We start from the raw sequence: 24,949 nt of genomic DNA on the forward strand, positions 1-24,949 counted from the left end.
GTATGTGAGACACAGGTACTATACAGTTCAAAGGTATAATTTAGATGTTAAACTTATTGGCAGTCTTTAAAAAAACATAATAACAAGTAGATCCTCTCTCACAAACTAAGTTGTAATATTTCTAAGTTGGAAAGATTTTTCCCTTTTGAAATTTTTCAAAGACAGAAATGTAATACCAAATTACCTAAAATATGAATAGTAAGCTCAAATTTAAGTAACATTTGAATACCAATTTAGGATTCTCAGAGTGAATTACAAAAGGACATTAAAGATATATGTACTCTGGAGTTTAAATTGATATTTAGTTTCTTCTAAGGATGACTGAGGAAGGTCTTAATTCTATGTTTAGAGTTTACTTTGTTTAAAAGTTGTTTCAACTTTTACTATGTAAAATTGTTGAATTTAATTAACATCTTTTTTGAAGCTGAAGTTACCAGATTAAAGCCAGTTGGTAGTAAATGTTTCAAAGTTAAAGTAGATATATTCTGGAGATAGGTCCATGATCTTGAGATTGACATCATAGCCTTCAGCCATTTTTTTTCTCATAAAATGTTCCATGTCAAAAGAGAAGGTAAGACTGATGAATCATGTGTCTGACCTAATGTGGCAGCTCTTAGTTACCAAAATTCTATTTTAAGTCATTTGCATTCTCAAAGTGCCATTCATTTATGATAACAAATTGTCACAGCATCCTGGATATTAGTAGATAAGCCATCTAGAGTGTCAGAGTTGGCCAGGTGTTGTCACTCAAATAAGGAAATCACATGCAGAAAGTAAAGCTAAAACTGCAGTTAAATTATTTAAATCATAGAATAAAATATTGTGAAATATTTTATTTCACAATAAGAATCGATCTTATGAGTCATTAAGATAGCCCTTTCATTCCAAAGATTAAGAACTAAAATCTAGGAAGGATAGTAATCCTCTTTGTATTTAGACAATAATCTTGTGTGAAAAATTAAAGAGTACAATATATAGTCACAAATGTATTTTTATTGAAAACTATTTTTGGGGTGATTTTTGTACAGGTGTAGTTCCAGATGGCACCTATGAAGTATGTTCAAGAACTACAGGACAAGCAGCAGCTGGTAGGTTCACATGCAGCATTATTTTATGTTAGATAGAATTCTGCCTTTATTTTAATGGCAAGAGAATCTTTTGGCTAAGCTAATTCTGGTGTTCACTAATTTAAAAAAAAACTATTTTGTATTAGAACATTTGTATTTATTTAACAATTATTAATCAGACACCTACTGTGTGTTTATATATATATATATAAATATATACATATATATATACTACAAGATGTTTTAGAAAAGATTAAAATGAATAAGATATACTTTCTATCCTTCATACTTTTAAATTTTTACAATGTAGTTAAGGCACATGTACAAAATTACATTGAAATATGTGATATGTACAATAAAACATAAAATTCCGGTTGCTATTGAAATGTATAAAAAGAAGAGAATATTTTCAAATATGGGAGAATACTGGGATCAGAGAAAACTTCATGGAGGGACAAACATTTAAACAAGCACTCAAAGGACAGGATAAATCTTTCTTAAGCAAAAACTGGGAGATGTGGGCCAGGGAAAATTCAGGCAGAGAGAATAATGTAACATGAATCATGATGTTAAAGCGCAGTATTCAGATTTGTCCAATTTAGCTAGAATAGAGTTATATAAAAAAAAAGATGGAAAAATGTTAAATGCCAAATTAAGGAGTTTGATTTGGTGGGTAGTGAGTAGGCTAGCCATTGAATGTTTCTGAACAAGAAGGCAAATGACGACACTATCAAAGGAACACTTTCAAAGATTAGAGGGCAAAAAAGCCTAGGAAATCAGTTAGGAGGTAACTATGAAAGTGGTAATTGACTAAGATGATAGCACAATATAAATTTTTATTGTTTTGCTTGTTATAAAATTGGACAGGGACAGGGTGAGCTACAGAGATACTTATTTAAGGGCTCTTAAAATGTTGAGAGAGGTAGAAATTGATTAAGGTTAGTAGATTGCCAGTCTCTCCTTACCATTCTGTTTTCCTCCCCAAGCCTAGCCTTAGTGCTCATCCTAAGTTACCTTAGAAAGCACCAAGGCCTAGAGTCTGACAAAGAACTGGAAAAGTTAGAGAATTTTCAACTGAGGTCACAAATAAATCTTCGTCAGGACTTTTAAGTGACAACAACCCACTTAGACTAGATTAACCAAAAGGGGATGCTTATTAAAAGGATATTTTCAGACTACAGTTAAACTTAGGAATGGTTATTTCAGGGAAGAGAAGGAACCAGGTCAATTCAGGAGCCCTTAGGAACTACTAGAACCAAGATCCCAACTGTCACCAAGACTCTTTGTAGCTCTTGTCTTTGCTTCTTTGCTCCCCTCTTGGCTACTTGTTTTTCTTCTTCTTCTAACTTGTAACCTCTTTCTTATACATGGCAAGAAACACAGTGGAGTCTCGTTTCTCCACCCTCAGTCATTAGAGAACGACCAACCTTTCCTCAAGTCCAGGCAAAATATCTTATTTTTCCAACTTTGACCTTCACCTGGACCAATTAACCTAATTAATTCTGTCTAATGAGCTAAGGTCATGGCAATTCCTACTGTAGCTATAGGATGGTGGATCAACTTGGGGTCAGGGAGTGAACCTGTAGTTCATAGGGAAAAAGAAAATAGGTGCTATACAGAGGAAACAGTAGATGCACACTGTACACATAGAGAAATCAATCCTGTAGTCTGATGTTTCTGACAAGTTTAGCAGTGAAAGACATTAGTTATTATATGTGGCCATTATTACTTTGTAAAGTTATTTCAATTTCTATACCCAGGACTTAACAAAAATGCAACTTCTTTATTTAAACAGAAAGCAGTAGTGCTGGAACCTGGACACTCAACGTATTGTGGAAAATGTGTGGGATTGATGTTCACATGGATCCTAACATTGGCAAAAGGCTTAATGCTCTGGGCAATACTCTTACAACACTGACAGGAGAGGAAGACATAGATGACATTGCTGACTTAAATTCAGTGAACATAGCTGACCTGTCAGATGAGGATGAAGTTGATACTATGTCTCCCACTATCCATACTGTAAGTAAACTCACTGTTAGAATTTTTCAGGATTGGCTTTTACCCTGAGACAGGGATATTTTTTGTTCAGTGTTATTTAGTATATTATAGTTGCTATTTGTGGAGGAAGAGAAGGGAATGGTGGTTCACTGTGTCTACATTTCATAATACTGTCTTTTAATCGAGTTCTGTGCTACATGTTGACTGTCATCCAACTTGTGCTTTAACCTATAGGTAAAATAATAATATTAAAACTGAAATGAGTAGGGAGTGGGGCAGGGTGGGGAATGGGAAGAAATTGCTAACAGGTATGAGGTTTCTGAGTGATGAAAATATTCCCAACTAAGATTTTAATGATGGTTGTACAACTTTGTGAATATACTAAATGGGTGAGTTTTATGGTACGTGAGTTATATCTCAATAAAGATGTTCAAGATGAATTTCAAAGCAAAGTGCATATACAAAATGAAATGATACATTTTAAAAATACGTATTTTCATCTATACTATACACTCTGTAGTTTCAAGTTATTTTGTGGCAAAAAGAAACTTATTCTTTGATTTCATTCTGGTATTGATTTTTAAAAATTATTTTCAATATCTTTTAACTATTATACCATGAAATAGTTTTGTTCTTGGGAAGAAATTTTTTTAAATTTAATATTACTGTTTATTACTTAGAGTTCAGATGGAAGTTCAATAAGTGGAGATGGCCACAAACTCACCTTTGGGCAGCGACTTGTAAATCACCTACTAGGCCTGACACCCCCAAATCAGCGCCATTCTGTTCCTGCAGAGTATCTGTGTGACCCAGAGATGTGGGGCTCCCCTCAGTCTAGCCAGTCCCATTTGAAAGCATGCAGAGCACACTCATGGGGAAACGTAGGTAGCAACTAAATAGATTCCTTATGAAATTGAAGGGATTTAAATCAATGGAGAATTCCAACCTTAATATAGATGGTTTTGATTCTTGCATGCTTTGATTTAAGGTGTTAATTTTGTGATAGTATAGATTTGCTGTGTGACTTGAGGGTGGTATTGACAGATACACTTTTGACTTTTCAGGAAGCCACAGATTATCGAAGACAGGCAGCATCTGCTAGCCAGCCGGGAGAACTTAGAGGAAGAAAAATTATGAAGCGTATAGTGGATATCAGAGAACTGAATGAACAGGCCAAAGTAATAGATGATCTGAAGTATGTACAATGATTTTTAATTTAATATAATGTTCCCTAATTTTAGAATCATAAGATGTTAAAAGTGGAAGAAACTGTATTTGGTCTAATACAAACTCTTTAGTTTATCTGTGATATCACCAGGGTCCAGAGTTGTTTAATAATTTGGTCAAGATTATACACTCATTAGTGATAAAGTTAGGCATGAGGCTGGGCATGGTGGCTGATGCCTGTAATCCCAGCACTTTGGGAGGCCGAGGCAGGTGGGTCACCTGAGGTCAGGAGTTCAAGACCAGCCTGGGTGACATGGTGAAACCCTGTCTCTACTAAAAATACAAAAATTAGCTGGGCGTGGTGGTACATGCCTATAATCCCTGCTACTCGGGAGGCTGAGGCAGGAGAATCGCTTGAGCCCGGGAGGAGGAGGTTGCAGTGAGCCAAGATTGCGCCATTGCACTCCAGCCTGGGTGACACAGCGAGACTCCATCTCCAAAAAAAAAAAAGGCATGAAATCCTAGTGTCCTAGTGTTTTTCACAACTTATTTCTGAGCACTTTATGACTGATGGTTTATATCACATATATGTATCTTTACATGTGTATTTACTCTTATATGTATCTTCACAGGCATATATAAATAAATCCATTAATCTTTATCTGTTGCCTGCTGGATATTACTAAGTAATACTTCTTCTATTACAGTAAATATTCTTGTTGCTAAACTTCGCAATTTTATTTTCCCAAAAGGTAATGGTCATGCCTCATCTTTTCTAATCTGCATATACTTGTACTGGTGCTTTTTTTTTTTTTAAACAATCAAGGACCTTACACAACTATATGCATTTTGTATAGCAAAATGTATTGTCTGAAACTTGTCTGTAAGTTATCATGCAGTGATTCACATTTTCCTGTTGACTTACATTACAATTTGAGTTTTGGTCTCAGGGGAAAAAATGACTTGAAGCAAAATATACCTTTCCTCCAAAATCGTACCCAAGGCTTATATTATATGTAGAATTTTACATCCAGACATTTTTTTTGCAGAGTGGGTCTATGGTTTTCATGAGATTGCCAAAGAGACTCTTGATGCAGCAATGGATAAGACACATTTCCTCAAACATTAGAGAGAGATGTTTTTTGTTTTCTTAACAGTTCGCCAAATATGAGTGTTAAGCTTATTGAGGGTTTTGGCTTGTCTGTATATAATCATCTTTGGTATTCTGACAAGAATTAAAAAGGAGCAAGTAAAAAATCAGTCTTACTTTGTTATTTATTTACAATAATTGCCATATTTGTTTTGCATCCAGAAAATTAGGTGCAAGTGAAGGAACCATAAACCAGGAAATTCAACGTTACCAACAGTTAGAATCTGTGGCTGTGAATGACATTAGAAGAGATGTTCGTAAAAAATTACGGAGGTCCAGTATGCGGGTGAGTTCTCTTTTTTCTTTCAATGCTGGTGACAAAACCACCTGACTTTTTCCTATCATATCTACTGCGTACCAGGTACCATCTAAAGCACGTTACATGTAATCACCCATTAAATCCTAACAACAAACTTAGGAGGTAGCTTGTGTTATTTTCCTATTTTAACGATGAAGAAACTGAGACACAGGTCAAGTAATTTGACCAAAGTTATACAGCTAGTAATCCTGGGGAAGACAATAGTCAAACCTAGGTTGTAGGACTCGATAGTCTATGCCCTTAGACACTGTGTTTTGTCTGTTTTTCATGAAATCACTCTTCTTTTTAGTCTCTAATGTGAACTCTGCAAAAAATGTGAAAAATTTTAAGATGTCTGTTCTTCACCTATCCCATTCTCCCAGGTCAGAATTTACCTGTCAGCTACTGTGCATTGTAATGCACTTTATAATCTTTATTTTTTGCAGGTTTAGTCGGTCCCATTAGAGTTTGAGTCTAGGAGTAGAAAACTTTTTTTAAAAACCATTTTGCCCTTTTGTTGCTTCATTTTTTAAATTAAAGGTAACTTGTTAAGAGTTATCGATTCACAAGTGTACCCACCTGGGCCTGCTGCTTTTTGTTTTGTAAAGTTATTAATCCAGTCCTTTAATAAATGCAGGCCTATTTGGATTGTCTTTTTCGTCTCTCCATTTTAGAAAATTGTATGTTTCAAGGAATCGGTCTATTTCATCTAGGTGATCAAATCTGTGGGCATAGATTTGTTCACTGTATTCCTGTATTCTTTAAATAGCCATAGGGTCTGTTGTTGTATACCCTCCTTTATTGCTGATGTTAGTAATTTGTGTCTTTCTTTTTTTCTTAGTTGTCCTGGCTAGAGGCTTATCAATTTTATTGATCTTTTCAAAGAACCAGCTTTGGTTTTGTTGATTTTTCTCTATTGATTTCCTGTTTGTTTTATTTCTTCTCTAATTTTTATTATTACTTTTCTTATGCTTAATTTGGATTTAATTTGCCCTTTTTTTTCTAGTTTTCTAAGATAGAAGTTTAGATAATTGATTTTAGATCTTTTCTGATGTATGCATTCAGTTCTATAAATTATCCTCTAAGCACTGCTTTTGCTGTGTCGCACTAATTTTGATAAGTGTGTTTTGATTTTCTTTTATATTTTAAAATTTCTCTTTAGATTTTTTTCTTCAACTCATGTTCAGGTATCTTTCTGTTGTTGATTTCTGGTTAAATTCCACTGTGGTCTAAGAGCAGACATTTTATGATTTATAATTTTTTTTTTTTTTTTTTTTGACACAGAGTCTCGCTCTGTTGCCCAGATTGGAGTGAAGTGGTGTGATCTTGGTGTACTGCAACCACCACCTCCCGGGTTCAAGCAGTTCTCTCCCTCAGCCTCCCAAGTAGCTGGGATTACAGGCACCCACCACCATACCTGGCTAATTTTTGTATTTTTAGTAGAGACGGGGTTTCACCATCTTGGCCAGGCTGGTCTTGAATGTCTTACCTCGTGATCCACCCGCCTTGGCCTCCCAAAATGCTGGGATTACAGGTGTGAGCCACCATGCCTGGCCATGATTTATAATTTTTAAAAATGTGTTAAGTTATGCTTTTTGGTCCAGAATGTGGTCTCTCTTGGTGAAAGTTCCACGTGAGCTTGAGAAGAATGTGTTATTATGATGTTGTTAGATGAAGTTGTCTGTAGGTGTTGATTATATCCAATTGACTGATGATATGTTGAGTTCAACTATGTCCTTATTGATTTTTTTGTGTGCTAGATATGTCCATTTCTGATAAAGGGTTATTGAGTCTCAAACTGTAATAGTGGATTCATCTGTTTCTCCTTGCATTTCTCTTAGTTTGGGCCTCACATAGTTTGACACTCAGTTGTTTTGTTTTTAAGAAATAGGGTTTCACTCTGTTGCACAGGCTGGAGTGCAGTGGTGCAATCATAGCTCATTACAACCTCAAATTCCTGGGCTCAAGCAATCCTCCTGCTTCAGCCTCCCAAGTAGCTGGGACCACAGCACATGACACCATGCCTGGCAGGATTTTAAAACATTTTTTGTGGGGACAGGGTCTTGCTATGTTGCCCAGGCTGGTCTCAAACTCCTGGCCTCAGGCAATCCTCCTGCTTTCGACTCTCAAAGCACTAGGATTACAGGTGTGAGCCACCATGCTCAGCCCACTTTGTTGTTAGGCATGTACACATTAGGGATTGTTATTTGTTCTTGAAGACTAGACCCCTTTATCATTTCATAATGCTCTTCTTTTTCTTTATACCTGATAATTTTCTTTGCTTTGAAATCTGCTCTGTCTGAAATTAATATAGCTATCCCTGCTTTCTTTTAATTAGTGATAGGATGGTATATTTTTCTCAATCTGTATACTTTTAATCTATGTGTCTTTAAATATATATGCTTAAATATGTATATATAAGTGGGTTTCTTGTAGCAACACATTGTCAGATCTTTTTTAATCCACTCTGACAGTCTGTCTTTTAAGATCATTTTACACCACTGACATTTAAAGTGATTAATGATAGCTTTGAATTAATATCTACTGTATTTGTTACTATTTTCTACTTTTTGCCTTTTCTCTTTGTTCCTGTCTTTGTCTTCTCGTTTTTCTGCCTTTTGTGGTTTTAATTGAGCCATTTATATAATCTCATTTTCTGTTTTTTCTTAGCATATCAGTTACACTTCTTTTTTTACTTTTTCTTTTCTTTTTTTTTTTTTTTTAGTGGTTGCCCTAGAGACTGCAGTCTACAGATTCTTCTCGGCTTATGATTGGGTTACATCCCAATAAACCCATAAGTTGAAAAGTCAAAATGACTTATGATATCTTCAACTTATGACAGGTTTATCCAGCTTGAACCCCATCATAAGTTGAGGACTGTACTGAATGTTACCTCTTTTGTGCCATCATAAAGTCAAAAAATCGTAAGTCAAACCATTATGAGTCAAGGACCATCTGTACACGTATAATTAATCCAAGTCTACTTTCAGTAACACTATACCACTTTATGGGCAGTGGGAGTACCTTAAAACAAAATAATCATAATCCCTCCCTCCTGTCTCTTGTATCATTACTGTCATTCATTTCTCTTATATTTAAGCATATATAAGCATATACATAAATGCGTGTGCACATATATACACACACATATATACACATGCACACACATTTATACATACATGTGCACATATACATGCGATTTATATATAGTCATACATTATTGGTATTAAATGTGTGCATGTGTATATATGTGTGTGTATATATACACACACTCACACACATGTGATATATATAGTCAAATACATTATTGGTATTATTTTGAACAAACTTACCTGTTAGGTCGATTATGAATAAGATAAAGGTTTTACCTTCATTTCTTCTTTAATGCTCTTCCTTTTTTAAATAGAGATCTATATCATTTTCCTTCTCTCTATAAAACTTCTTTTAACATTGCTTGCAAGGCAGGTCTGCTGGCAACAAATTCCCTCAATTTTTGTGTCTGAGAAAGTCTTCACTTTTCAAGAATAATTTTGCAAGGTATATGATTCTAGGTTGTTGGGTTGTTTTTTTCCTCTCAACACTTTAAATATTTTACTCCACTGCCTTCTACCTGGCATAGTTTCTGAGGAAAAAGTCAGGCTTTTTTCATTATCTTTTTTTTTTTTTTGTAGTTTGATAATGATATAACTACATGTAATTTTTTTTTTTTTTTTTTTTTTTTTTTTTTTTTTTTGGCATTTATCCTGCTTGGTGTTCTTTGAGCTTCCTCTATCTGTGGTTTGGCATCTGACAACAATTTGAGAAAACTCTCAGTCATTATTGGTTCAGATATTTCTTCTATTCCTTTCTCTTTCTCTTTTCTTTCTGGTATTCCATTACACATACTTACACATTTTGTAGTTGTCCCACAGTCCTTAGATATACTGTTTTGTTTTGTTTTTTTAGTCTCTGTTCTGCTTTTCACTTTTTGCAGTTCCTATTGATATATCCTCAAGTTCAAATATCCTTTCCTCAGCCATGTCCAGTCTACTAATAAGTTCATCAAAGTAATTCATTTCTGTCACAGTGTTTTTGATTGCTAGCATTTCTTTCTGGTTCTTAGAATTGTCATCTTTCAACTTACAGTGTCCAGCTGATCTTGCATGCTGTCCACTTTATGTTAGAGCCCTTGGCATAGTAATCATAGTTGGTTTAAATTTCTAGTCTGATAATTCCAACATCCCTTCTATGAGGTTCTGATGCTTGTTCTGTCTCTTTAGATTGTGTTTTTTGCTATTTGATATGCCTTGTAATTTTTTATTGATAGCCAGACATGATTTACCAAGTAAAAAGAGCTGCTGTAAAGAAGCTTTAGTGAGGTAATGTTAAGGTGTCAGGGTAAGAGAAGCATTTTATCGTCTTTTAATGAGCCTATGCCTCTGAACTGTGAACTTCATGTTTGTCAGTTTTTTCCTCCCAACTTAGATGGACCAGTATGGATAGAACTGACTGCATTGGTATTGTATTTCCCTTCCCCAGGTCAGTTATACTCTGATAATATTCCCACTGGTTAGGCTCTGGTTAGCTAATTTCTCCTAAGGGCATTTTTTCTTATTCAGAAAAAGAAAGTACTCTTAGTGTTTTTTCAAAATGTTTCCTTTTCCCTTCCCCGTGTTGGAAGCCTAGGGGACTTTTCTCCTGAGGGGATTTTTTTCCCCTGACATTTTCTGTGGGAACCTGGTGGAACTACTGAAAGGCGATCTCACAATATTGCAGGGGCACCGGTGACTGGGTCCCCCTGGAGTTTTTAACTCTCAGACTTGTCTGCACTGAACCTTCCAGCAATTCTTCAATTACAGTTCAGGTGTTCCTACCCCAGTGTTGGTTCCTGCAGCAGTTTTTACTTGTGCATCTCTGTCCTGGTAAGCTGTAACTCACTGTATTTACTGGTCTCTTTCTCCAATGTGAGGGGCAGAAGTTGTCCTTCCTTGTCGCCTTTCTTACAGCTCCAAGAACAGCTGTTGATTCTTAAGTTTGTTCAGCTTTTTACTTCTTGTTAGGATGGAATGGTGACTTCCAAACTCCTTACATGTGAAACTGAAAACAAAGTCTAAAAACCACTTAAAAGGAAAAAAAAAGTAATTGGTTTTAAAATTTTTTAAACCAACAGAGAACCCTCTTTTTTTTTTTTTTTAACCAGGATGAGATTTTTAGGTGGTACCCCAACACATGAAAAACATATTAAATCAGAGCTGCAGGTGTCAAAGGAAAGGGGAAAGTTTGATGCAGGGTTCCAGGAGCTATTGGCTTGACCTGCCCTTCCTTGATCACTTCTTAACTCCCAGAGAATATAGTTTGAATACTGCTCTCCAATTTATTTGTCACTAGTCTCTGATAGTAATAATGGATAGTGAGATCTGTAACATGTAATTTTATATTTTAAATTTTTGCTGTCTACACAACAGTCATACAATATAATTAAAATATTACTTGTGTCCTGTTACAAGTCATATTTGGTAATTGACTGTTAAAAATAAAACTAGATAGAATTAGGGAAGTTGTTAAAACATCTGCATTCTTAACACATCTCATTCCACATATTCCCCTCAATTCCCATTATCCATCTTAGACTCCAAAACTCCACTGTATTAAAATCTTTTAACTATCTAGCACCATCACGAGTTTCTAGAAGAGGGACTTAGAGACAGGGAGAGTGTTAAGTCATTAACACTCTTACTTTCCTTTGTTGTAATGAAGAGTCCTACAAACGGGATGCCCTTGGAGAAAAGTGATCTTTTGTCTCCACTGCCCCGAACTTAGCTTTCTCCCAAAACTTTAATTCTCAGTTTCTTTCTCCATTCTTAATTTTAAAATCATTTCCTTTCTTCTCACCATGTTTCTGTACCCTCATCCCTACCCCCAAACTTTCTCTTTTCTTCTTTTTTCTCAGGTCAGCTGGTGGCTCCTGTTTTCATTGCGCCTCCTAATTGGTGTTAGAACCAAAGAATAGCTGATTCCTCCTCTATTTTGACTCATATTGTTAAGTAACATTAAAGTCCCCTGGGGAAAACAACTTATTTAATAGTAGAATATTTTCTTTTATTTGAAGTCAAATACAGTAAATAATCACCTATAGTCACCCTTTTTTCTCTCCCATTTTGTTAGGCTGCTTCCCTAAAGGATAAGTGGGGTTTGAGTTACAAACCAAGTTACAGCCGATCAAAAAGCATTTCTGCTTCTGGAAGACCACCTCTTAAGCGAATGGAAAGGGCAAGGTAATATATATTTCAGCCATTGAAACAAGTAATAAAATTGTTGACTCTTTTACCAAGGTCAACTACTTTTTTATGTTCTAATTATAAAATTAAGATAACAAAAATTAATTTTATTAGTAAAATAGCAATAACAGTGGATACTATCAAACTCAGAAGTTTATTTAAGGAATCTCTCATCACATTTATAACCACAATGCGGTAAGTGCTTTTTAGTAATGAAGTACGCTGCTATTTAGACAAGTTTCTGTTTTATTTACATAAAACTGTGGTTTAGAAGGATAGACAAGTTTTATGCGTAAACTTATAGATTATCCAAAGAAATTAAAAGGTGCATACTAGTAGCTACTGCTCTAGATTTGTCAGTTTAGAAAAGGTATAGTCACACAGACATTTAGCATATGAAAAAATGGAAATTTTACATTTTATTGAAGTGAATACAGTTTTAATAGTAAATCAGCACTATAACGTAAGAAGTATAAATTCTTTTTATATGATTTAGTTTTAGAAAAATCTTGAGTTAACCAAAACATTGACTCTTTTTTATGGGATGCTAAAGGTTAAGAGAAAGTTCAATCCTTTGATTAGGTAAATACTTACAAATAAAATGTCATTGCCATTAATCAGACTTTTATAAAGTCCAGGAATTTTTTTAATGAGAATATTGGTGTTTTATAACTTTATATTTACTTGCAGTTCTCGAGTAGGAGAAACTGAAGAGCTCCCAGAAATCCGTGTGGATGCAGCATCTCCTGGACCTAGAGTAACTTTTAATATCCAGGATACAGTAAGAGATATATAATTTGTTAGAGATATACATTGCTAAGTAGTTTTTACAAATTACAAAATTATGGTATTATACTATTTCAAAATACTGATTTCTTACTATAATCAAAGTATGGATTGTGATGACTGAACTGTGCATATTACCAAGTAGTGGGCACTGCCCTTATAACATTTTCTGAGAGCCATGAAGCAGGTGTTAGTATTTTACATTTTACATGCACAATAAAGGCTCCATAACTGCTTTCTCTTAAGTAGAAAGGTTTTTGTTGAATAATTTTTCTTTCAAGTGAGAATCCATATTAAACTACATCTTACACAAATGTAAACGTGGAATATTGATACTCATTTATGTATTTTATTTATAGATAGCAGAAATTAGAAGGAAGAAGATCAGCTTCAAAGTTGTATTCTAATTTCATAGCATATTAAACATTATATTAAAATGTTTATTTTGTTTTTTGTGTATTTACTTTTAAGTCATTGTTATTTTTCATGAGTTTTTTTTTTTTTTACTTTTCTCATTATTTTAATTAAGTTGAAAAATACAGTATGGGGAAGTACACCACAATCCAGCTGTCCTGGGGAAGGGTATTTTCAGGTACTTACTAAGAACAATATAAATTTTGCTTTAAAACTAATCAACCACACTGAAAATCTACTTTCAAAATATCTTCCTCTCATTTCAAACTTAACTTAGACCTCAGAAATATTTTACATAATGGTTTAAGACTGTTTGAATCTCATAACCTCTTGCATGCATTTGTCTTGGTTTTTACTTCTGTGTAGTTTAATACTATTAAAGACTAAATCAGCTAATCAAATCAATTCAACCAAATCATAAAAAAAACTACAATTTATTATTTCCTAATCCCTAAGTGAAGCAGTTTTTCCTTATATTCAACTACAAAATGAATTTTTTCATAAACAAAGATCAGTTCAAACTAGAATTAAATTTAATTCAGAACAAACATTAATAATTGAACATTCTTTTGAGTCACTGGTGTAAAAGAACATTTATGAAACTATCCATTTTTTAAATTATTCTCTTGTTCAAAACAATGTGGAAGAATGAATAGATCTTTTTTGTCAAGGTACATTTAAAAATTAGCACTTATCCAAATATATTTTGTTTCCCTTTTGTCACTCTCTTCAAGCTTGAGTCTCAACATGTATCTCATACTGAATTTAGTCAAACTGGATTTTTTAAAGAACTATTTAATTGTAATGTAGTGAGCTTGTTCTTTTTTTATGAAGAAAACTTGGAAAGAAAGAATTTACACGAATGGAGTGGGTTCTGCTAACTAGATGATTCTCAAAGGGATTAATATTTGAAGTGATTCAATTCAAGTCCCATTTTAAATTAGCCATGTACTGCTTGTAAAAAAATGGTATATAAAAAATCATGAATTATATAATAGCTATGAGATTAAATATTAGATTTTTCTAATCATAAATTAGAAAATAATTAAAGCATGGTTAAATATAAAGTAAATATGAAACAAATATTTATTGTCTCTTACCAAAGTTTTAAAAATTGGCTGTTCTAACAGTCTAATTTACTTGTTAACTCAGTAACATGTATACTATATAAAATGAAGAACACCTGGATTTGAAATTTTCAATGTAGGACTTAACTGTATATGGAATAGCAGCATCCAGTAGTTTTAATAACAAATTGCACATAAATTACCTTGCACATTAAACTTTATAAAGGCTTATTACTGCTCAAGTAACTCTGTGACTCTGTGAAGCTGGGCATCAAAATTAGGTCATAGGGGGGTGTTTTGTTTTGTTTTGTTTTGTTTTGTTTTGTTTGACCTATTTAAATGCAGTGGCCTCCTGGTGAAATCCTGAGTTAGTGACATGGTGTTTATACAAACTGTAGTCATCTCTCAATATCTGTGGGGGATTGGTTCTAGGACCCCCATGCATACCAATATCCACAAATACTCGAGTCCCTTTTATAAATGGTGCAATATTTGCACATAACCTACATACATCCTCCCATATACATTAAATCATCTCTAGATTACTTATAATGCCTAGTAGTACACTTCAAATGCTATTGTAAACAGTTGTTAAATCTTTTATATGTATTATTTTTTATTGTACTATTATTTTTATTTTTCCCCCAATATTTTCCATCTGCACTTGATTGAATCTGTAGGTGTTTACAGAGAGCCGGCTGTATTTACCTTAAAATACAGCATTCTTCAGTTTGATTGATACATGTTTTATTACTCGGCTATTTGCACATTTTTCTTTAACTCATGTGGGGCTCATTTTTAAAAGATCCACAAAAAGCATCCACAAAAAAGCATCTACTAGCTTTTAAAAGATCCACAAAAAGCATCTACTAGCATTTAAAAGATCCACAAAAAGCATCTACTAGCATGATGAGAAAACAATAAACTTTGTACTGATACTGCATGCTCTTCCATCACTAATTGCTCTTGCCATTCTGATTTAATCATGTTTCTTTTGCTTCCACATGTTTAACTTCTGCTTTAAAGAATTACAGTGTTATTGATACAGTAATATATGTTTATATTAAGTAAAATTTCATTCTGATTTTTAGTATGTCAGTAGTGTAACTTTCTGTGGTTGGCCCTTTTGCTTCCTTCCTTGGTGTACTATTTCATATGTTCATGAATCTGACCTTTCTTTCAGTTCAGAGTGAAGAAATTCAACTCTGAGATAATTTTTAAATGTTTAAATTTATATATTTTTTCTTTTTTTAATTGAAATATGAATCTGATTCATGTTTTTTCTTTTTACAATCAGTTTCCAGAGGAGACAGAACTGGACCTTTTGTCAGTAACCATTGAAGGTCCATCCCATTATTCATCAAATAGTGAAGGATCATGTTCTGTGTTCAGTTCTCCCAAAACTCCAGGAGGCTTTTCACCAGGCATTCCTTTCCAAACTGAAGAGGGCCGACGGGATGACAGTTTGTCTTCTACCAGTGAAGATTCCGAGAAGGATGAAAAAGATGAAGACCATGAGAGGGAAAGGTTTTATATTTACAGGAAACCCTCGTGAGTAACCTTATTTTAAGATCATAATGTAGTATTTCAGAATCTAGAAATGAGCACAAAATGTTATATATAACTCAGCTTTTACAAAAAACATTTTTAATGTGCCTCGCTTGAGTGAGACTAACAGACTCATTAAAATAAAATTTATTTTAATAAAATTTATCACATGGTTTATTGTGATGTAGCTCCATATAACATTATTTTTTAAATTTAAATTTTTTTTTCATGTCACCTAAGTTTAATTATCTAAAATAAAATGGAAATAAAGATGTGGTTACGAGTAAATTAAAGGAGAGGGCTGTATTCCTGTGGCATTACATTAACAGATTGCAGCAAGGAGATATGTAATAGTGAAGGCTAGTTAAGAAAAGTAGTAAAGGGAAATGGTTAGCAATGGATGAAAGACTTAAGCAAATTCTTAGAAGAAAGAAATAACATGAAATGGTGTTAATGAAATAAATGACATATGTGAAACTTTGCTCTGAATATGCCCTCAAGAGGAGCGGCAAGGATCTTTGGAACTGGTCTATTTAAACCGCCCTCAAGTGAGGTTGTGACAATAATAGTAAGAGTTTCTAATAATGGTAATAAATAATGAGAAATTGGCTTAGCACAAGAGTGTAACCAAAAGCTGATCTATAAGAAACTCTCTGTCTTCAATCTTCTACATTTTGAGTTTTAGGGATTCTTTCCTCCCTTTCCTAGACTGAAGCCACTGACTGCTGAATCCCATACATCAGCATATTTGGTTTTATTCCTTCATTTTTCTGGAGTACATTCTCAAATAACTTACTATGAAAAGTTATTATTGCAGATCTACTTCATTTTCTTCATGTCTAAAGTAGCTTTACTATTTTTGTGTTTATTATTGAGTTGGGAACAGAATTCTAGTCTAATATGTATTTCTTCTCCTAAGTAAGAAAAACTGTTCTGTTATCTTCCAGCATCCATATTCGGCATATGCTGGTTATCTTTTTCAGTTCTGTCAATGTGACTTAAGTTTTTTTGATATTTTATATCTGTTTTCTTCCTGGACATTTTTAGAATCTTGTCATTATATTTAATTTCATGGTGGTCCAAGTTTGCGTCTTTTCTAACAATTTTTCTAGGTATTTTGGTATTTCTTAGAATATAAATTTGGTTATAGGAAATATTACTTTATAGTTGTGTGGATAAATTCTTCCCTTTTTTTTTTGTTTTGTCTTAACAGTAATCGGACATTTGCCTTCCTGGACAGATGATCTATATCTCTTTACTTTTTATGTTTTACGTTGCCTTCGTAAAAACTATTTTGTCAGTTTTATTGAGATATAATTTACATTAGTGTAACCATATTTTCCAGATATACAATTTGATAAGTTCTTTAAATATTTTATTTTGGTAAGATCACTTAGCATGAGATCTACCCTCTTAACACCTTTTTAAGTGTGCCATACAACAGTGTTATCTGTAGGCACAATCTCTAGAACTTATTAATCTTGCGTAACTAAAACTTTATACATGATTGATTAGCAACGGCCAACCTCCCCCAGACCCTTAACCCCTGACAACCACCATTCTATTCTCTACTTCTATGAGTTGGACAATTTTAGATACCTCATGTAAGTGGAATCATGCAGTATTTGTCCTTCTGTATCTGGCATACTTCATGTAGCATAATGTCCTCAAGTTCATACATGTTGTCACATAGTGCAGCATTTCCGTCTTTTTTTTAAGGCTGATAAAATTCCATTGTATGTATGCACCACATTTTTTAATTCATTTGTCTGTCAATGGACATTTTAGGTTGTTTCTACATCTTGGCTGTTGTGAAAAATGCTGCAGTGAACTTGGGAGTGCTAATATCTCTTTGAGATCCCGATTTCAATTCTTTTGGATAAATACCCAGAAGTGGGATCTCTGGATCATGTTGTAGTTCTACTGTAATCTCTTGAGGAATCTCCATACTATTTTCCCTAGCAGCTGCTCTGTTTTGCATTCCTACCAAAATATGCAAGGATTCTGTTTTCTCCATGTCCTTGCCAACACACTTGTTTTTGCTTTTTGTTTAAATAATAGTCATGTTACCAGGTATGAAGTCATATTTCATTGTGGTTTTGGTTTGCATTTCCTTGATGACTGGTAATATTGAACACCTTTTCAATATACTTGTTGGCTGATTCTTTGGAGAAATGTGTACTTAAGTTCTTAGCCAATTATTAAAATCGGATTTTTCTGGTTTCTGAATGCTAGGATTTTGTTACATACTTTGGGAATTACTCCCTTGTCAGATATATGGTTACAAATATTTTCTCCCATTCCATGGGTTGCCTTTTCACCCTATTGTTTCCATTGCTTTGCAGAAGCTTTTTTAGTTTGATGTTGTCCCACTTGTCTTTTTTTACTTTTGTTGTCTGTGCTTTTGGTGTCAGGAAATCATTGCCAAGACCAGTGTTATGAAGCCTTTTCCCTATGTTTTCTTCTAAGAGTTTAACAGTTTCAGGTGTTAAGTCTTTAATCCATTTTGAGTTGATTTTTTTGTATGGTATAACATAAGGGTTCAATTTCATTTTTTTTGATGTGGATATCCAGTTTTTCCGGCACCATTTGTTAAAGATCACATGGCATTATTTTTCTTTCCTTGTTGTTCTGTCTTTAATAAAATCTGGAAAGTAACATTTAAATGTTATAATTTGAGAAAATGAAATATTTTCCAACATACACAGTATATTTTATATACTGATATTCAGACTCCTTAAAAGTGGTGATTATGTCTGTGTCCTCATCACCTAGCAAATAGCCTGGCATATAATAGTTATTCAGTACATAGTAGCTGAATAAAGTGTGGCTCCATTAAACTCACTCATGTGAATTTACAAAATAGTAAAATTTATTTACAGACTGTTGCTCACATAACATGTTGGAAAATAGTTTGTTAAAAAGAACTCTCATTTTACTACAATGTAATGATCAATTGTTCTTTCTGTAGACATACGTCTCGTAAAAAAGCAACAGGCTTTGCTGCTGTTCATCAGCTATTTACAGAACGCTGGCCAACAACACCAGTCAATAGAAGTCTTAGTGGCACAGCTACAGAGAGAAATATTGACTTTGAACTTGATATACGGGTTGAAATTGATAGTGGAAAATGTGTACTCCACCCAACCACCCTTCTACAAGAACATGATGATATAAGTTTGAGAAGGTAAGAAATTGATTGGAAAAGGATACATGAAACTTTATCTATTAGAAATACTATTCATATATCACTGAATTATAACAAACTTCTCCATCCCAAAATGCAGATTTGAAGTGTAAATGTAATTATAGTTATAATGGTCAAGTGTATATTTCTTATACAGTTTCTTATAAACAAGTGCATAATATTTTCTGGCAACTAGAAATGGATGTCTGACTTAGATTTTTGCAAGTTTTTTAATTAAAATAGTTATATCTTTGGAATTCTTTTAACACACATGAATTTCTCAGTGTCTGTCCCTGTATTATACATATTTCAGTTTTAAAGAACAACACAATGCTCAGAAGTATCTTGGTTATTGAGAGTTTGATAAGTTCATAAAGAAATAAGAAAGACTGGGAGACAGTTACACAGACCTCAGTAGACTGAAATTGTGTTCAGGATATAACTGCAGCTTTACTATTTGTTTACATCACTAACTAAATGATGATATAAACAGGATTAACATTTTTTTCTTTAAATTTTGTTTTCCTTTTCTAATCTAAAAATGAACTGTAAAAAAAATAGTTATAATTGAGCGGATGGGTGGAGATGTAGATAAAAAGAATGCTGACAATTATTGAAACTGGGTAGTGGGAACATGGAGGATCATTAATGATACTATTCTGATTATTTTTTATACATTCAAAGATTTCCATAATAAAATATTTAATTGAGGCTTTTATAAAATATGAGAAAATAAAAAAGGTACTATAAACAGTTAAAATGTCTTACAAATGTAGTAGTGATGATAAAAAGGATGACTATTAGTTTATTTTTGATTGAAACATAACCCATAATAAATTGCTAATATTTAGCTGTATTTTTACTATATAAAGGGCAGTTTCATTTGGTTCAACCTAATATATTCAAATGAAAGTCACGACCTTAGGAAAGAATAAAGGTAACTGCCCTGTATAGTTACGGAACATACAACATTTACATCACTCATGCAAGGCATTAACCAGTCTCGCTAGAGATACTGATGAACTTTACTTTTTTCAACTTCTTAAATGAAGGATTGTATTCCATTTACTGTAAAAATAAAAGTTTGCTTTTTTTTTTTTTTATTATACTCTAAGTTTTAGGGTACATGTGCACATTGTGCAGGTTAGTTACATATGTATACATGTGCCATGCTGGTGTGCTGCACCCACTAACTCGTCATCTAGCATTAGGTATATCTCCCAATGCTATCCCTCCCCCCTCCCCCCACCCCCCACAGTCCCCAGAGTGTGATATTCCCCTTCCTGTGTCCATGTGATCTCATTGTTCAATTCCCACCTATGAGTGAGAATATGCGGTGTTTGGTTTTTTGTTCTTGCGATAGTTTACTGAGAATGATGGTTTCCAATTTCATCCATGTCCCTACAAAGGATATGAACTCATCATTTTTTATGGCTGCATAGTATTCCATGGTGTATATGTGCCACATTTTGTTAATCCAGTCTATCATTGTTGGACATTTGGGTTGGTTCCAAGTCTTTGCTATTGTGAATAGTGCCGCAATAAACATACGTGTGCATGTGTCTTTATAGCAGCATGATTTATACTCATTTGGGTATATACCCAGTAATGGGATGGCTGGGTCAAATGGTATTTCTAGTTCTAGATCCCTGAGGAATCGCCACACTGACTTCCACAATGGTTGAACTAGTTTACAGTCCCACCAACAGTGTAAAAGTGTTCCTATTTCTCCGCATCCTCTCCAGCACCTGTTGTTTCCTGACTTTTTAATGATTGCCATTCTAACTGGTGTGAGATGATATCTCATAGTGGTTTTGATTTGCATTTCTCTGATGGCCAGTGATGATGAGCATTTCTTCATGTGTTTTTTGGCTGCATAAATGTCTTCTTTTGAGAAGTGTCTGTTCATGTCCTTTGCCCACTTTTTGATGGGGTTGTTTGTTTTTTTCTTGTAAATTTGTTTGAGTTCATTGTAGATTCTGGATATTAGCCCTTTGTCAGATGAGTAGGTTGCGAAAAGTTTGCTTTTAAACAAAAAGATAAATGTGTCATTTTTTAAAAAGATAAGAACATTTTTCTGTTCACAGGAGTTATGATCGAAGTTCCAGGAGCTTAGATCAAGATTCACCTTCAAAAAAGAAGAAGTTTCAAACTAATTATGCTTCTACCACCCATTTAATGACCGGCAAGAAAGTGCCATCATCTCTACAGACAAAGCCTAGTGACTTAGAAACAACAGTATTTTACATTCCCGGAGTTGATGTAAAGGTAAAAACCCAATTGCCTAGGGTAAGGGATTAGACTATTGGTAGCAATGTTTATTTTCTATCATATATGTTCATCTTTTTCTCATTATATTAAAATGAGACTTAGTGACTTCTTTGTCTAATATAGCCATATTCTGGACAGAAGAACATCAAAACTGCAGGTTCCCACTTCATTTATGTAGCATTTTCCATGAAAGTTTGATGGAAAGAAGTTCGGTTTTTTAATAAATTGATATTCGTAACAAACTTGCTAAACCTTGCTAGTGCAACTTCATTAAACAACAGTTTTTTAGATTCTGGAATTATAGAATCATAGACTATTCAGTTCGAAAGGACATTAAAGATTATCTGAAATGACCTTTTTATTTTAAAAAATGAATAAAAGCAAAGAAACTTGCCAGGATCACAAAGCTAACTTTTAAAAGTTAAAACAGTCTTCTGACTTCCAATGTTCTTTCTACCACATTTTTCTATATTTCTTGATTTTCCTCATCTTCATAATTTTAATTTTAAAAGTTTATTTATTTCAATACAGTTGCATTACAATTCCAAGACGCTAAAGACTGAATCACCTAATGCCTCCAGGGGATCTTCCTTGCCAAGAACACTGTCCAAAGAGTCCAAGCTGTATGGTATGAAAGATAGTGCAACATCTCCTCCTTCTCCTCCTTTACCTTCCACTGTCCAGAGCAAGACTAACACCTTACTTCCTCCCCAGCCCCCACCTATTCCTGCAGGTATTTAAGGAGTATATACTTTATTTTTTGTCATTTTAAAAATTTTTAGTTATTACCTACTTGCTCTTTTGAGACTTTCCAATGCACATGTTTAAGAAAAAAGGACATACATTTGTCAATAATGACTCTACAGACTTCATATATGGAAGTGTGGGCCAACCATTTTCACCTGTTTTTGAAATTGACATTACTTTAGAATATCTGTTATAAAATAAATAATATACCAAATAGTTTACGTAATTAAATTTTTAGGTCTGTATATATAAAAAGAGTAGTTTTATGTAGCTCAAATTTGGGAGCTTATGAGCAGATGGAAATATCAAACTTGAGAGTACATTGGGTTTAACCACATTTATTACTTCTCTGTTGTATAACACATTACCCAGAATTTAGTGGCTTACAACCTCAACCACAGGTTCTGCTGATCAGAAATGTAGGCACAGTTTGGCTCAGTGGATCTAACTTATGGTCTTTTACAAGATTGCAGTCATGGCAGATTTTTCAGCCCCAGTCAAGTATTCAGATGACAATACTTGACTGGGGCTGAAACATCTGCCTCCATCATGTCTCAGTCATGTGACTGGCTAATTGGTACTTCCCTTCCTCTCATGTGGGCTTCTCTACTGGGCTTCTTGAGTGTTCTCATGATATGGCAGTTGACTTCCCTTAAAAGGAGTGATCCAAAAGATACCATGGCTGAAGCTGCATTATCTCTTATGGCTTAGCCTTAGAAGTCACACACCATCACTGCCACAAGGTTTTACTCATCACACAGGTCAGTACGGAAGTAAACTACACAAGGGCATGAATACCAGGAGGCAAGGATCATTGAATGTCATCTTGGAATCTGGCTACCATAGCACATGAATGATACCGTACATACATGGCAGGATTTCCAAAAAAAGGAATATCAGACTAGACAAGAATTATTTGAGAAAGTTTCATTTGGGAGACAAAACTTGATATATAAACCTTTTAAAATAGTAATCATGCTGAGAATGCCTAGTATCACTTTTCAGCTAACAAGGCACATCTGTGTCCATTAAGTGCATGGCAGCTATTAACCCCTTTTATAAAGGAAAGTTAAGGCTCATAGAAGTTGGATGTCTTTCCTGGATTTGAACAACTAATAAATGTTAAAAGTTGGAAACCTTAGCCAAAGCTAACTAAGTCTTAGATGTTTTACTCATTCTCCTGAAGCAGATATATTTAGTTAGGTAAAAGGAAAGAGAAATGGCATCCCATGTAGGGAAGCATTATAAATACATGCAAGCTAAGCACAGGAAAGCCTGAAAACAGTGACGTTTTTCTTCACTTGCCACTAAATATTGTTAAAGTTCTCTATATCTTCTTAAATGGACAAAAGGACTAATGCTAATGAGAGTCTAACCAAAATATAAAGCTGAAAAACTGGACCAAAACTTGTGACGCAGAGCAAGTAGGAATAACCAACTTATTATATGTTATTAATCGCCTCTGTATTCTAACATTAACATATCATTCCTATCAACCTGCTACTTTTATTATTTTCTTGTAAGGCCTTAAATGTGAGGTACTTTGCTTGATTAAACTTTAATATAATTCAAATTTCTGTTTAATTGGAACTTTTTATAAAATCCATTAAATGGAATTTATAAATGTTCTAGCCAAAGGAAAAGGAAGTGGAGGAGTAAAAACAGCCAAGTTATATGCCTGGGTAGCACTTCAGTCATTGCCAGAAGAAATGGTTATTAGTCCCTGCCTATTAGACTTTCTGGAAAAAGCTCTGGAAACTATCCCAATTACACCAGTTGAAAGGAATTATACAGGTAAGCATCCTTCTTATATACCTCCCCATAACATATATTTTGGGATCTTATTATATAGAAGGTTTTCTTAATGCTATTATACATTATTACATAATATATGCAATTATAAATGTTAAAGAATTATAAACTGTAAAAGAACTTGAGAGATCATCTAATTGTCATTTACAAATGAAGAAACTAAGTCCTGGTGAGGTTACATAACTTTCCCATGGCCCCACCTAGTTAATGACAAAATTAACATAAGTTCTACATCCTTAGTGTGTCCCTTGGACTGGAATCTCTTTGAGGGCAAGGATATAATCACTAGTTTCTTTGTACAGTGTTTGGTATAGCAGCAGGAAAATTTGAGTTTGGGGGAATGAGCAAGAGGTGCGAACAGGGAAAAACGTATAGAATGAAGGGCTACAGAAGCAAATGTTTCCGGGTGTTCATACCTTTCATCTCACTCTAGTATAAACAATAAGGATCTTTTAATAAATAGTTTGCCTTTGATCTAATAATAAAACTTAACCAAATATTTTAAACAGCTGTCAGCTCACAAGATGAAGATATGGGACATTTTGAAATACCAGATCCTATGGAAGAATCAACAACATCACTAGTGTCGTCTTCAACATCTGCTTACTCTTCCTTCCCTGTAGATGTTGTGGTTTATGTACGAGTTCAGGTGACATACTTCATTTCTTTCTTTTTGTTTTAAAGAGAAATGTTTTTCTTAAGTTTATTTGAACATTTCAACATTATTACTGTTTAAAAGTTTTCTTAACCTCAGGTTCATGAACCTTTAGTATGTTTGTGATGGCTTGGAGGTTGCCAGAATATGTGTGAAGTATGTGTAAAATTTTATGTATATACAGATGCTCAAGTTATGATGCTGTTCTGATTAACCCATCACAAACTGAATAGCGTAAGTCAGTAATGCATTTAATACACTTAACTTACTGAACATCATAGCTTAAACTAGCTTACCTTAAATGTGCTCAGAACACATTACTCTTCAGTTGGGTAAAACCGTCTAATACAAAGCCTTTTTTATAATAAAATATTGAATATCTCATGTAATTTATTGAATGTTGTACTGAAAGTGAAATGCAGAATGGTTGTATGGGTCCTCAAAGTACAGTTTCTACTGAATGTGTATCACTTTCGCCCAGCCTAAATTGGAGATCATCTATATTCACTTTTCTACCAAGAA

At 33.9% G+C, this 24,949-nt stretch overlaps 1 protein-coding gene across 43 annotated transcripts in view; it reads left to right on the forward strand.

Annotated features, from left to right (window-relative positions):
• The window catches only part of BLTP1 (bridge-like lipid transfer protein family member 1), a 210,422-nt gene that overhangs the window by 160,269 nt on the left and 25,204 nt on the right, over positions 1–24,949 (forward strand). For 24 of the 43 annotated variants that reach the window (XM_047416253.1, XM_047416259.1, XM_047416258.1 and 21 more), the window contains 14 exons: positions 1,029–1,088; positions 2,863–3,089; positions 3,749–3,949; positions 4,133–4,263; positions 5,548–5,671; positions 11,828–11,937; positions 12,631–12,721; positions 13,256–13,318; positions 15,505–15,758; positions 18,727–18,942; positions 21,030–21,210; positions 21,745–21,946; positions 23,593–23,754; positions 24,282–24,421. In XM_047416253.1, the coding sequence (XP_047272209.1) occupies positions 1,029–1,088; positions 2,863–3,089; positions 3,749–3,949; positions 4,133–4,263; positions 5,548–5,671; positions 11,828–11,937; positions 12,631–12,721; positions 13,256–13,318; positions 15,505–15,758; positions 18,727–18,942; positions 21,030–21,210; positions 21,745–21,946; positions 23,593–23,754; positions 24,282–24,421 (2,162 nt within the window). Of the gene's footprint in view, positions 1–1,028; positions 1,089–2,862; positions 3,090–3,748; positions 3,950–4,132; positions 4,264–5,547; positions 5,672–8,408; positions 8,608–11,827; positions 11,938–12,630; positions 12,722–13,255; positions 13,319–15,504; positions 15,759–18,726; positions 18,943–21,029; positions 21,211–21,744; positions 21,947–23,592; positions 23,755–24,281; positions 24,422–24,949 lie in introns of those variants that run through there. The other 19 variants (XM_005263287.2, XM_047416267.1, XM_006714344.2 and 16 more) reach the window with 11 other exon arrangements.

The sequence above is a fragment of the Homo sapiens genome, chromosome 4 (assembly GCF_000001405.40).
Source record: "Homo sapiens chromosome 4, GRCh38.p14 Primary Assembly".
Classification (NCBI taxonomy): Eukaryota; Metazoa; Chordata; class Mammalia; order Primates; family Hominidae; genus Homo; species Homo sapiens.